The 13,101-nt window shown below is 36.6% G+C and overlaps 1 protein-coding gene across 2 annotated transcripts in view; it reads left to right on the top strand.

Annotated features, from left to right (window-relative positions):
• EYS (eyes shut homolog) overlaps nucleotides 1–13,101 on the top strand; it is a 1,987,247-nt gene that overhangs the window by 1,968,062 nt on the left and 6,084 nt on the right. For both annotated transcript variants that reach the window (NM_001142800.2, NM_001292009.2), the window contains one exon: nucleotides 12,485–12,646. In NM_001142800.2, the coding sequence (NP_001136272.1) occupies nucleotides 12,485–12,646 (162 nt within the window). The remainder of the gene's footprint in view (nucleotides 1–12,484; nucleotides 12,647–13,101) is intronic.

The following is a 13,101-nucleotide window of genomic DNA, read 5'->3' as shown; positions in this document are numbered from 1 at the left end:
GGGAGAATTTGATAAACAAAACAATTATGATAATAGATTACAATCCATTAAATAAAAATAATGATACCATACCGATAGAAAGGAGGGGAGGAAGGAGGGAGGCAGGGAAAAATGAAAGAGGAAATGAAGGAGGATGAGAAAAAGGAAAGATCTTCCATACATTTATTTATTAGTGGAATTCCAGCTAATAAACGTAACACGAATGATGTAAGTAGATAATCAGTATGTAGCAACGATCTCCAAAAGGTAGTTAATTCCTGCTGGAGTCATCGATGAAAGTTAATGCTGCTAGTGGGTGGAGATTAGTTGAGGATCAGGATATGGATATAATTTTTGAATACTTTTGCCTGACGTAGAAATGAATTACAAGGGAAAATGGAGAATTTTTTTTATGTGTGTATATATGTCTGTATGTATTTTTTTTATAATTATACTTTAAGTTTTAGGGTACATGTGCACAATGTGCAGGTTAGTTACATATGTATACATGTGCCATGCTGGTGTGCTGCACCCATTAACTCGTCATTTAGCATTAGGTATATCTCCTAAAGCTATCCCTCCCCCCTCCCCCCACCCCACAACAGTCCCCAGAGTGTGATGTTCCCCTTCCTGTGTCCATGTGTTCTCATTGTTCAATCCCCACCTATGAGTGAGAATATGGGGTGTTTGGTTTTTTGTTCTTGCGATAGTTTACTGAGAATGATGATTTCCAATTTCATCCATGTCCCTACAAAGGACATGAACTCATCATTTTTCATGGCTGCATAGTATTCCATGGTGTATATGTGCCACATTTTCTTAATCCAGTCTATCATTGTTGGACATTTGTGTTGGTTCCAAGTCTTTGCTATTGTGAATAGTGTCACAATAAACATACGTGTGCATGTGTCTTTACAGCAGCATGATTTATAGTCCTTTGGGTATATACCCAGTAATGGCATGGCTGGGTCAAATGGTATTTCTAGTTCTAGTTCCCTAAGGAATCTCCACACTGACTTCCACAAGGGTTGAACTACTTTACAGTCCCACCAACAGTGTAAAAGTGTTCCTATTTCTCCACATCCTCTCCAGCACCTGTTGTTTCCTGACTTTTTAATGATTACCATTCTAACTGGTGTGAGATGATATCTCATTGTGGTTTTGATTTGCATTTCTCTGATGGCCAGTGATGGTGAGCATTTCTTTATGTGTTTTTTTGGCTGCATAAATGTCTTCTTTTGAGAAGTGTCTGTTCATGTCCTTCACCCACTTTTTGATGGGGTTGTTTGTTTTTTTCTTGTAAATTTGTTTGAGTTCATTGTAGATTCTGGATATTAGCCCTTAGTCAGATGAGTAGGTTGCGAAAATTTTCTCCCATTTTGTAGGTTGCCTCTTCACTCTGATGGTAGTTTCTTTTGCTGTGCAGAAGCTCTTCACTTTAATTAGCTTACCAACCAAAAAGAGTCCAGGACCAGATGGATTCACAGCCAAATTCTACCAGAGGTATAAGGAGGAACTGGTACCATTCCTTCTGAAACTATTCCAATCAATAGAAAAAGAGGGAATCCTCCCTAACCCATTTTATGAGGCCAGCATCATCCTGATACCAAAGCCGGGCAGGGACACAACCAAAAAAGAGAATTTTAGACCAATATCCTTGACGAACATTGATGCAAAAATCCTCAATAAAATACTGGAAAACCAAATCCAACAGCACATCAAAAAGCTTATCCACCATGATCAAGTGGGCTTCATCCCTGGGATGCAAGGCTGGTTCAATATATGCAAATCAATAAATGTAATCCAGCATATAAACAGAACCAAAGACAAAAACCACATGATTATCTCAATAGATGCAGAAAAGGCCTTTGACAAAATTCAACAACACTTCATGCTAAAAACTCTCAATAAATTAGGTATTGATGGGATGTATCTCAAAATCATAAGAGCTATCTATGACAAACCCACAGCCAATATCATCCTGAATGGGCAAAAACTGGAAGCATTCCCTTTGAAAACTGGCACAAGACAGGGATGCCCTCTCTCACCACTCCTATTCAACATAGTGTTGGAAGTTCTGGCCAGGGCAATTAGGCAGGAGAAGGAAATAAAGGGTATTCAGTTAGGAAAAGAGGAAGTCAAATTGTCCCTGTTTGCAGATGACATGATTGTATATCTAGAAAACCCCATTGTCTCAGCCCAAAATCTCCTTAAGCTGATAAGCAACTTCAGCAAAGTCTCAGGATACAAAATCAACGTATAAAAATCACAAGCATTCCTATACACCAATAACAGACAAACAGAGAGCCAAATCATGAGTGAACTCCCATTCACAATTGCTTCAAAGAGAATAAAATACCTAGGAATCCAACTTACAAGGGACGTGAAGGACCTCTTCAAGGAGAACTACAAACCACTGCTCAATGAAATAAAAGAGGATACAAACAAATGGAAGAACATTCCATGCTCATGGGCAGGAAGAATCAATATCGTGAAAATGGCCGTACTGCCCAAGGTAATTTATAGATTCAATGCCATCCCCATCAAGCTACCAATGACTTTCTTCACAAAATTGGAAAAAACTACTTTAAAGTTCATATGGAACCAAAAAAGAGCCCGCATCGCCAAGTCAATCCTAAGCCAGAAGAACAAAGCTGGAGGCATCACGCTACCTGACTTCAAACTATACTACAAGGCTACAGTAACCAAAACAGCATGGTACTGGTACCAAAACAGAGATATAGATCAATGGAACAGAACAGAGCCCTCAGAAATAATGCCACATATCTACAACTATCTGATCTTTGACAAACCTGAGAAAAACAAGCAATGGGGAAAGGATTCCCTATTTAATAAATGGTGCTGGGAAAACTGGCTAGTCATATGTAGAAAGCTGAAACTGGATCACTTCCTTACACCTTATACAAAAATTAATTCAAGATGGATTAAAGACTTAAACGTTAGACCTAAAACCATAAAAACCCTAGAAGAAAAACCTAGGCAATACCATTCAGGACATAGGCATGGGCAAGGACTTCACGTCTAAAACACCAAAAGCAATGGCAACAAAAGCCAAAATTGACAAATGGGAAAACACAGAATTTTAAGTGAAGAAACCTGGCAAATCCAAATATTGCTCCTATTTGTATATTTGATCATCTGCTCAATAATCAAGTTTAGTATTAACTGTAGTGATACGGGTCTACATTATGTAGCTCTTGATGTGCACGTCATTTCTACAAAGATTACATGGTTTGAATCGATCGTGCAGACACACCAGATAGAGCTAAGTTGAGGGTCATTCTACAGGATGTAAAGCCTCTTAAAAACTGTCAAGAATATGGAAAACAGTAAGAGGAACTGTTCCAGATTGAAGAAATATGAAGAGACATGACAACTAAATGTAACGCATTCCTGAAGGGCATCCTGGACAAGAAAGGAAAAAGAGACCTTGTTGGAACAGTTGAAACGTGAATCATGCCTATGGATTGGATTGTTGGATTGTAGTGTTGTATCAATGTTGACTCCTGATTTGGAGGTTTGAGTGCTAATTATATAGGAAAATATCCTTGTTTACGGGAAACATTGACTAGAATGTTTAGAAGTTGTAGGACACTGCATCTTTAGCTTGTTTTTATAGGTTGGGAAAAAGGTCTAATAATAAGTAGGGTGTGTGTGTGTGTGTGTGTGTGACAGAGACAGACAGAGACACAGGAAGACAGAGACAGGAAATGAGAGAACGAAAAAGATGAGAAAATGCAATAAAATAGGAACAATTGGAGAGTCTGGGTGAAAGAGATGAGAGTTCTTTTTGTTATGGCAACTTATCTATAAGTTCAAAATTGTTTCAAAGTGAGTTATAAAAAATTATATTTCCATTATTACACACCTCTTATAAGCACCCTCAACACTCAAACCGCCATTGTTTCCATTGCACAAAATGATTTTTTAAAGCAACTCAAAAGTAAACTCAGACACAGCAAACGTGGTGTAGACAGAGAAACCAAAACAAAACAAAAGCTTCAAAGGTACAAATTAAACTGAGCAATGTAAGGCCTCGTGCTACCTGCTACTGATGCACAGGCAGAGTAAGCATGTTTTTCCTCTGAATCATAGCTTTGAGCAAGTCTGTAAATGTAAATATAATATCAATTCTTTTGTATTTTTGAGGCTTGTTTTATGGCCCAGTATTTAGCAAATATTTGTATATATTTTGTGTGTTTTTGACAAGAATGCATATTGGGAAGGTCAAATGCTATGTCTATGTCCATGATATCAAACATGTTGATTGTGTTGTTTAAATCTCCTAAATTCCTTACCGATCTCTGTTGCTTGATCTATTAGTTACTAAATTCTAGATCATACATCAGCCTACTAAACCACCACCTTGAACATCTTAAAAACATCTCAAATGTGTCCTACCTGAGCTCCACATCTTCTCCAAAATACCTGCTTCTCCCACAGTCTTCCCCATTTCAGTTAATGACAACATTATCCTTCTAGTTTCTCAGGACAAAAACCCCATAGTTACCCTTGATTCCTCTCCTTCTTTCTTACCCACATGTGATCTTTCAATTTTTCAAAATATATTTGAAATATGACTTTTCACTACCTCCACTGCTACTTCTCTGATACAAGCCACCATCACTTCTTACCAGTATTATAGTAATAACCTCTTGATAGGGAGTGCCCTGTTCCCACATTTGCATTCGTCACTGTATTCTCAGTGCAGCAACCAAAGCGATATTGTTTAACTTCCATCAGATGATGACACTCCTCTGCTCAAAGCTTTCCAATGATTTCCCATCTCATTCTTATAAGACAGTCTTGATGGATGTAATAGCCATAATATGTAGAGAGACAATTTTCTACTGGTCTGTCATGTTTCTACACAAGTTTTTTTTCAACTTTTATTTTAGATTCAGGAGGTACATGTGCAGGTTTGTTACAAGAGTGTGCTGCATGATTCTAAGGTTGGAGGTACAATTGAACCCAGTCACCCAGGTAGTGAGCATAGTACTCAATATAGTTTTTCAACCCTTACTCCCATCTGCCTCGTCCCGATTTTGTAGTTCCCAGTGTCAATTGTTCCCATCTTTATGTCCATGTGTATCCAATGTTTAGCTCCCACTTATGAGAACACACAGTATTTGGTTTTCTGTTTCTGTGTTAATTTGCTTAGGACAATTGCCTCCACCTGCTGATTAAAGGTACTGGCTGTTTTTGTTCTTGGCTATCTTTTCAAATATGTTTGTGTAGAAAATATTCTTGGAAGACAGGGATAATGTCTTCCTTTGGAGCAAGAAGCCAGTTTGCTTACTGCCTTATAAGATGGAGATACTGTCTTCATTTGGAGCAAAAAGCAAGCATGCTCACTGCCCATTATAAAAATATTTGGATCTCTAACCTCAGACTTCCTCCCCAAGCAACCCAATGCATGTTTATAACGTGGTCCGTGAGAGAACTGAGGTTCATAGAATTGAGTAAAAAATGCTGATACTTTGGCTACTGCTAATGCTGTAATAAACTTTCCTTTGTCTCTGGAGTTTCATGTCTCTTACTAGCATCATTGAAAATGTTGCAAGCACATAGATACAGCTGGAGGCCATTATCGTAAGCAAATTAATACAGGAGCAGAAAACCAAATACCACCTGTTCTCACTTATAGGTAGGAACTAAACACTGAGTACAAACAGATATAAAGATGGGAACAATAGGCACTGGGGTCTACTAGAGGGGGTAGGGAGGGAGGGGCACAAGGGCTGAAAAACTACCTATTGGGTACTATGCTTACTACTTGGGTGATGGGATCAATTGTACGCCAAACCTCAGCATCATGCACTTTACCCATATAACAAACTTGCACATGTACCCTTGGACCTAAAATACAAGTTGAAATTAAAAGGAAAAGAAGAGAAGTTGCAGGCTAGTAAGTTAGCTAGCCAGTAGGTGAAAGTCTCAGAACCTTCCCAGTCTTTGAGAATGTGATCTGGTCCCCATAACCTCTCTGACTTTATCTATTAAAACTCTCCCCTTCCTTAACACTCGTCCAGTCACACTGCCCTCCTTCCTGTTCTTTAATCATGGTAGGAACCCTATCACCCCAGGGTTCATTATTCCCTCTATCCTCAAAGAGCCACTTGGCCCAATTCTTTACCTCCTTGAGGTGTTTATTCAAATACCACCTTCTTCATAATGCCTTTCCTGCCCCCACATGCATACATGCCTTTCTCCTTTCCCTGTTTTTCTAAGATGTATCAACATATATTCACTATTTAAACATACATCATATATTTAGTTTACCAACATGTTTATTTAATTTACTATTTCCATCCACAAGGATGACAGCACAAATAATTTTTGTTTGTTTTACTGTTATGTCCCGGACAGGTAGCCAAAATACTTCAACTTCTGTGAACCTAGTGAACGTGTTGGCACAAACCTTTGCCTATGGTGAAATAGGGAGGGTTGCCAATGGTCACTAAATCTAAAAGATGGATAGCCAATCAGGAAATATTAATTTACGGTTTCAGAATACATGTGGAATATTTTCACCACAAAGTGATCATTTTTAGGAGTTGATAGACATACAAGAAATAATTGGGCGTATCTCAATGACTAATCACTGGTATGTCCACCTCAATTTTTCTCTTGACTTTATTTTAATCTATAAAATAAACATTTGAGTCATACTAAGCATAGTCATTTTTCCTGTTCTAGTTTATCCTTGAAGCTGCTAAATAAAAATGTACCTCTTTTTGAAATGACATCTTGCACCAATATTTTGAATGTGTATTATTATTAGAAAATGCAATCCTCCCCAGTACTTTGTTACTGAATACTTAATCAAATAATAAGCTATTAGAGCTGAAGCCTTTCTTGTTATATAAAAAATATGTATTGAGCATCTTCTCAAAACATACAATGTCAGAGCTATTAATAAAATTCATTTCTTTTGAGGTTTAGTTCAGTGACATTTACATATAATTTCAGCATGTGTCACTTCTTTGGAAAAGCACGAGTTAGGAGGTCAGCTGTTTTATGATACGCTCACATGTGCACAGATAATTCTCAACTCCTGCACTGACCCAGTATCAGCAATAGTTTCAGCAAAAGCTTCCTCTTGAAATACAATTCGAGCTCCTCCCCACTGGGTAACAGGGAACCCTCTCATCATGCTGTTGTTGACTGAACTCTTCCATTCTTGAGACCCCCCCTCCCAGATGTTAAATCCAGCCAAAGGAAAGCAGCAAAGCCAAATAGGTACTACCACAAAACCTAGCCTTATAGGTGTTTTTTATCTGCATTCTTCATTCTGTTCAATATTTCCTACAAACACTTCCTCAAGAGGGAGAGGGAAAATATTACTTGTAAGATGCTAAAAGTGTGTATCAAATACAAACAAAGAGGACAAACTATTAATTTTTGAAAAATATTAGCTATCTGCTTATAACATAAAGCTTGATTTCTAGCTCAAACTATTCACAATACTATGAGCCACATAAGTTAAAGGCCTATAAATTTAAAAACATACAAATTTATGGTAAAAAAATATAGAATGCAAAACTAGAATCTCTGAGGGAAAAATATAGATGATTATACATAACTATGTGTTGAGTAATGTTTTTAAATAAGACAAAACAAGTAAATTGTAAAAGACCAAGAATATTGGTAAATACAAACTTAAAAATTTTGAATAGCATACCATAAGTAAAGTTGAAAGAAAAATGACAAATATGAGGATATACTTGCAATAGATATAAGAAAGGATTAGGACTCAGAAGACATTTTAAAAATTGCAAATCGAATTTAAAAACATACAACAGACATAAACAAAAAAGTCACAGAAAAACACAAATGGCCAATATTCACACGAGAAACTCAACTTCACTTGTAATCAGCAAAATGCAAATTAAAATAAAATGGAATCATTATGACTGCTAAAAACTTAAAATTTCAATAATCTCAAGTGTGCTTGAGGATATATATAAGGATATTCTGTCACCCTCTGCTGGTTGTGGACACTTTAGAGTGTAGTTTGGTGGCATCTATTAACTCTAAAAATGAACACAGACCATCACACTGCGATTCCATTTCTCACATGTTTAAAACGAGATATAATTAAGTATGTTTATCAGTATTAGTAATAACAAAATAATTTTTTTTGAAGTGGAGTCTTGCTCTGTCACCAGGCTAGAGTGCAGTGGTGCGATCTCAACTCACTGCAACCTCTGCCTCCCAAGTTCAAGCGATCCTCCTGCCTCAGCCTCCTGAATAGCTGGGGCTACAGGTGCGCACCACCATGCCCAGCTAATTTTTTGTATTTTTAGTAGAGACGGGGTTTCATCATGTTGGCCAGGTTGGTCTCGATCTCTTGACCTCGTGATCCGCCCACCTTGCCCTCCCAAAGTGCTGAGATTACAGGCATGAGCCACCATGCCCAGACGATAACAAAATAATTTCAAGCAACTCAAAACATGGCAACATGGCAGTGGTTAAGTAAATTGTGGTATAATTAATCTAAGATAATCAAACTATGACAAATCCAGTAGTAAAAGCCAGTGCATCTGAAGTTTAAAGAAAAGGAGGAAAAGTAGCATCATATTTCCATGTAGATTGTTCATTGAACATCTCCAGGGAACACTATTCACATAAATTACAATGTGATGACTTCCCCTTGGGGTTATGCAGTGCACCATATGCACAATGGTGGGAATGTTGGGAATTTAACAGGAGGCCAAATCATGCAAAGCTCCAGAGGCTATGGTAAAGAATCTGCATTTTATTCTAAGTAAAATCCCTGAAGGGTTTAAAGAGGGCAATGAATTGATGTTTTCAAAAGGTTTCTCTGGCAGATATATAAAATGTATGTGAAGAGATTAAGACAAAAAGTAAAAAGATCAATGAGGAGTACATTGCAATGGTCTAATCAAGAGTTGATAGTGGCATCAACTTGGATGGTGGCAGTGGTAATAGAAAGATGGGGCAAATATGAAATATATCATGCAGCTATAATCTATTAATGCATTATATTGGGAAACATAAAGGAAATTTTGGAAACAGCACAATCAAATTGATTACCAAGTTTCTACATGGGGCTTTGAATGGGTGGTGGGACCATTTGCTGATCTGAGGAAGGCTGAGGGAAGAGTATCTTTCAGCAGTACAACTTCAAACATGTTAAGTTCGATATAACTCATATAGCCAAAACAAATAATCAATAAGAGAGATGACTATATAAAACTGAAGCTGACAGAAGAGGTTTAGATAGACGTAAATTTTCAAGGAGTTATCATATGTATAGGTATTTCTTAAAGTCATGGAATTAGATGAGAGGTCACTAATGGAAAGAAAAGAAGAGAGATGGGCTATGGAAAGCCCTGAGGAATTATAAAATTTATAAGACAGGGGCACATGAAGCTAGAGAGATAGGGTGGGAAACCAGGAGAAATGGAATACAACTGAAAATAGCCTAGTTACCCTTCAATGAGGGAACTGCTAAGGAAATCATCCTATATCCATTTTATAAAATATTATGCCACAAAATAGAGTCAACTGCTCTTTGACAAAAGAGGAAGAAGAATAAAATGGGGAAAGGATAATCTTTTCGACAAATGATGCTAGAAGAAATGGACATCCACATGCAAAAAGAAAAAAAAAAAAGAATCTAGACACAGACATGACATCTTTCACAAAATTTAACTCAAAATGGATTCAAGGCCTAAATGTAAAATAAAAAACTATAAAACTCCTAGAAGAAAATATAAGAGAAAATCTAGATGACTTTGAGTTTGATGATGAGTTTCTAGATGCCAACCAAAGGCAGAATCCATGAAAGAAAAAAATTGATAAATTAGATTTCATTAAAATTAAAAAACTAATCTGTCAAAGACACATGAAAGAGAGTGAGAATACAAGCCACAGACTGGCAGAAAATATTTGCAAAATATATATCTGATAGAGAACTGCTATCCAAAGTAAACAAGGAATTCTTAAAATTCAACACAAAAATTAACTCAATTTTTAAAATGGGCAAAATATCTAAACATAAACCTCACTACAGAAGATATTCAGATGGCAAATGAGCATATGAAAATGCTCAACATCTTACATCATTAGGAAATTACAAATTATAATAATTGGATAACACTAGATACTTTTTCGAATAGCTAAAACCCGAACACTTATCACCTAAAGCCAGCAAGGATATGGAACAATAGGAACTCTCATTCATTACTGGTAATGCAAAATTGTACAACAATTTTGGAAGACAATTGGGCAGTTTCTTACAAAACTAAAAATGCTCTTACCATATGATCAAGCAATTGTGTTCCTTGGTATTTGTCCAAAGGAGCTGAAAACTTGTGTTCAAACTGTATGATTCCAACTATATGATATACTGGAAAAGGCAAAACCATGAAGTCAGTAAAAAAAGATCAGTGGTTGCCAGGGTGGAGGGAGAGTCAAATAGGCAAGCAAAGAGGATATGATGTATGATTTTATGTATGATACTGTAATGGTAAATAAATTTCACAACGCATTTGTCAAAATCCATAGAATGTACGTGAAGAGTGAATCCTATGTAAATGATGAACTTATGTGATAATGATGTGTCAATATAGAGTCATCCATTTAACAAATGTACTCTAGTGGGCAATACTGACAGTGGAGAAGGCTGCGCATGTGTTGAGACAAGGGGTATATGGAAACCCTAATACTTTCCACTCAGTTTTGCAGTGAACCTAAAATGGCTCTGAAAAAATAAAGTGTACTTTTAAAAATACCTTCCATGTATTTAAAAGAAGTGATAGGCAAAATATGCTAATATCAGTTTCACAAAGATAGATGGAAAAAAGCAATTACTTATGCATAGTTTATATAAAATGTGGTTTTATTTAAAATAAATCAAGTATTAGATATATGCATATGTTAATTGTATGTGTATTTTTTTAAAGTCTGGCTACATGTACAATAAACTTAACAGTAATTCTTGGGATTAAGAGAGGAGAAACAATGAAATTTCACTTAAAAAATGTTATACACTTTTATATTGTTTGTCTTATAATAAACATGTATTAATTTAGCAATATTTTAAAAAGTTTCAAAAGGACACTCACATTTTAAATCACCCTTGTGTTCTTAAAATTTTAACCAGATTTTATGAAAATGTGGTCCAAGGAACCCCTATGTCAGAAACACCAGGAGGGTTTATTAAAAATGGGGATGCTTTCTGAATCCCATCCCAGCATTTTTTTTTTTTACGACAGGGTCCCACTCCGTCGCCCAAGCTGGAGTGCAGTGGTGCCATCTCAGCTTACTGCAACCTCCACCCCCACCTCCACCCCCACCTCCACCTCCCAAGCTCAACTGATCCTTCCACTTCAGCCTCCCCAGTAGCTGGGACCACAGGCATTCGCCACCATGCCCAGCTAACATATATATATATATTTTTTTTTTTTTTTTTTTTTTTTTTTTTTTTGAGAGATGGTGTTTCGCCATGTTGCTCAGGCTGGTCTCAAACTCCTGAGCTCAAGCAATCCTCCAGCCTCAGCCTCCCAAAGTGCTGGGATTACAGGAGTGAGCCACCGTGCCCAGCCTCCATCCTGGCTTTAATAAATCAGGCCCTCTAGGAATGAGGTATAGCGCTTTGCATTCTTGGCAACACGATCAGGTGATTCTAACCTCTACCCTTCTGAATAGCAATAAGTCGAAATGAATGAGTACAGTTTTTTAAAAAAAATCAGCAAATGCCAACACCTCTTGGATAAACACCTACCAATTATTCAATCTAAAGTAAAAGGAGCCGTTAGCATACGCCTGGTCCACAGAGCAGGGAGAAAACTAAATAACTAGATTAATGGCTAAGCTATGTCCTGAACCAGGGCGCACTCTAAGAAGCACTGTAACATTATAAGAAAAGAAGAAGGAATATAGATTTCATAGGGATAAAAACTGGCCAAATGTGCAGAACTTTCCATCTCCCTCTCATAATTCCCATTGGGTCAGTTATACACAGAAGCAAAAAAAAAAATCAATATATTATGCCTTATAATATATCCTGACTCAATTATACTCTGTATTTGAATCAGAAATATAGAGGCTGAAGAATAACTTATAAAGTGTTGTCCTCTATCTTCCAACATTTGAACTTTCTGAAAGCATTATAAATGTAAGACATTTCCAAGAATTTCAGCTATGCATCTGATCCCTCTATATAATGCAATCTAGAGCAGAAGATTTGTGTCAGATAGTATCGGCCAAAAAGGCATAGTTACCAGAAGCAAGAGAAGGCTTTTCAGTAAGTGACTTCGTTACAAAACCCTAAAGTTAGTGGAATTAAAACAGACTCACAAAGTTACCAAGGTTTGATGTACTCACCTACAAGCAACTCTTGGGCGATAAATCCTGAAATTACAAAATTACATAAGCAGTTTATTGTATTTATGAGCAATGTTTTTTAATCCAGCAGATAACTCCCAGAGTTCTCTTTCTCTCCTTCCCTCAGCTTTATCCATAAGTGATCCATCTTTCAGAAGCAATGAGTTATCCTGGATGTCTTTTGCTTCCTTTCATGTTCGAAAAAAGACACATATTCAATTGCAGTTTCAGCCTCTCGCTGCAGATGGTATCCTATTTTATGCTGCACAACACTTAAAAGCCCAATCAGGTAAGATTGGCAGGCTGTTTGTTTGCAGAATGAATTCCTAATAGTCTATTAAGTAATGTATGATAGTGTTTGTGTCACCTAGTATTTAAATATGTAAACATTTGATGCTTTTATGTTCTATTGTCACTGCAAGTGTATGCGTATGAATTTAGAAGCCCTAGATATTCTAATAAAATAGCAACAGATTTGTTGGAATTAAAGTTTGCAAAATCTAAATATAGTATATGCTCAACTTAAAAACAATACCATCAAAAAAGACATTAAAGCCATGCACGATAGTACTATGTCAAAGGAGACAAAATATGCATATAAAAGATTTTTTAAAAGGAAGGCATGGCTGATACATTTCCTGTAGATTCAACCACATTTATAGCTCCAAAAATTCTCTTTAAGTTGTTCTGTCATCCAAACAGTAAACCCAGGATTTGTGTTCTGAAATGCTTACAAAAACATTT

Source organism: Homo sapiens, chromosome 6 (assembly GCF_000001405.40).
Source record: "Homo sapiens chromosome 6, GRCh38.p14 Primary Assembly".
Taxonomy (NCBI): domain Eukaryota; kingdom Metazoa; phylum Chordata; class Mammalia; order Primates; family Hominidae; genus Homo; species Homo sapiens.
The sequence above is the reverse complement of the archived record's forward strand: the minus strand, read 5'-3'. Positions and strand labels throughout refer to the sequence as shown.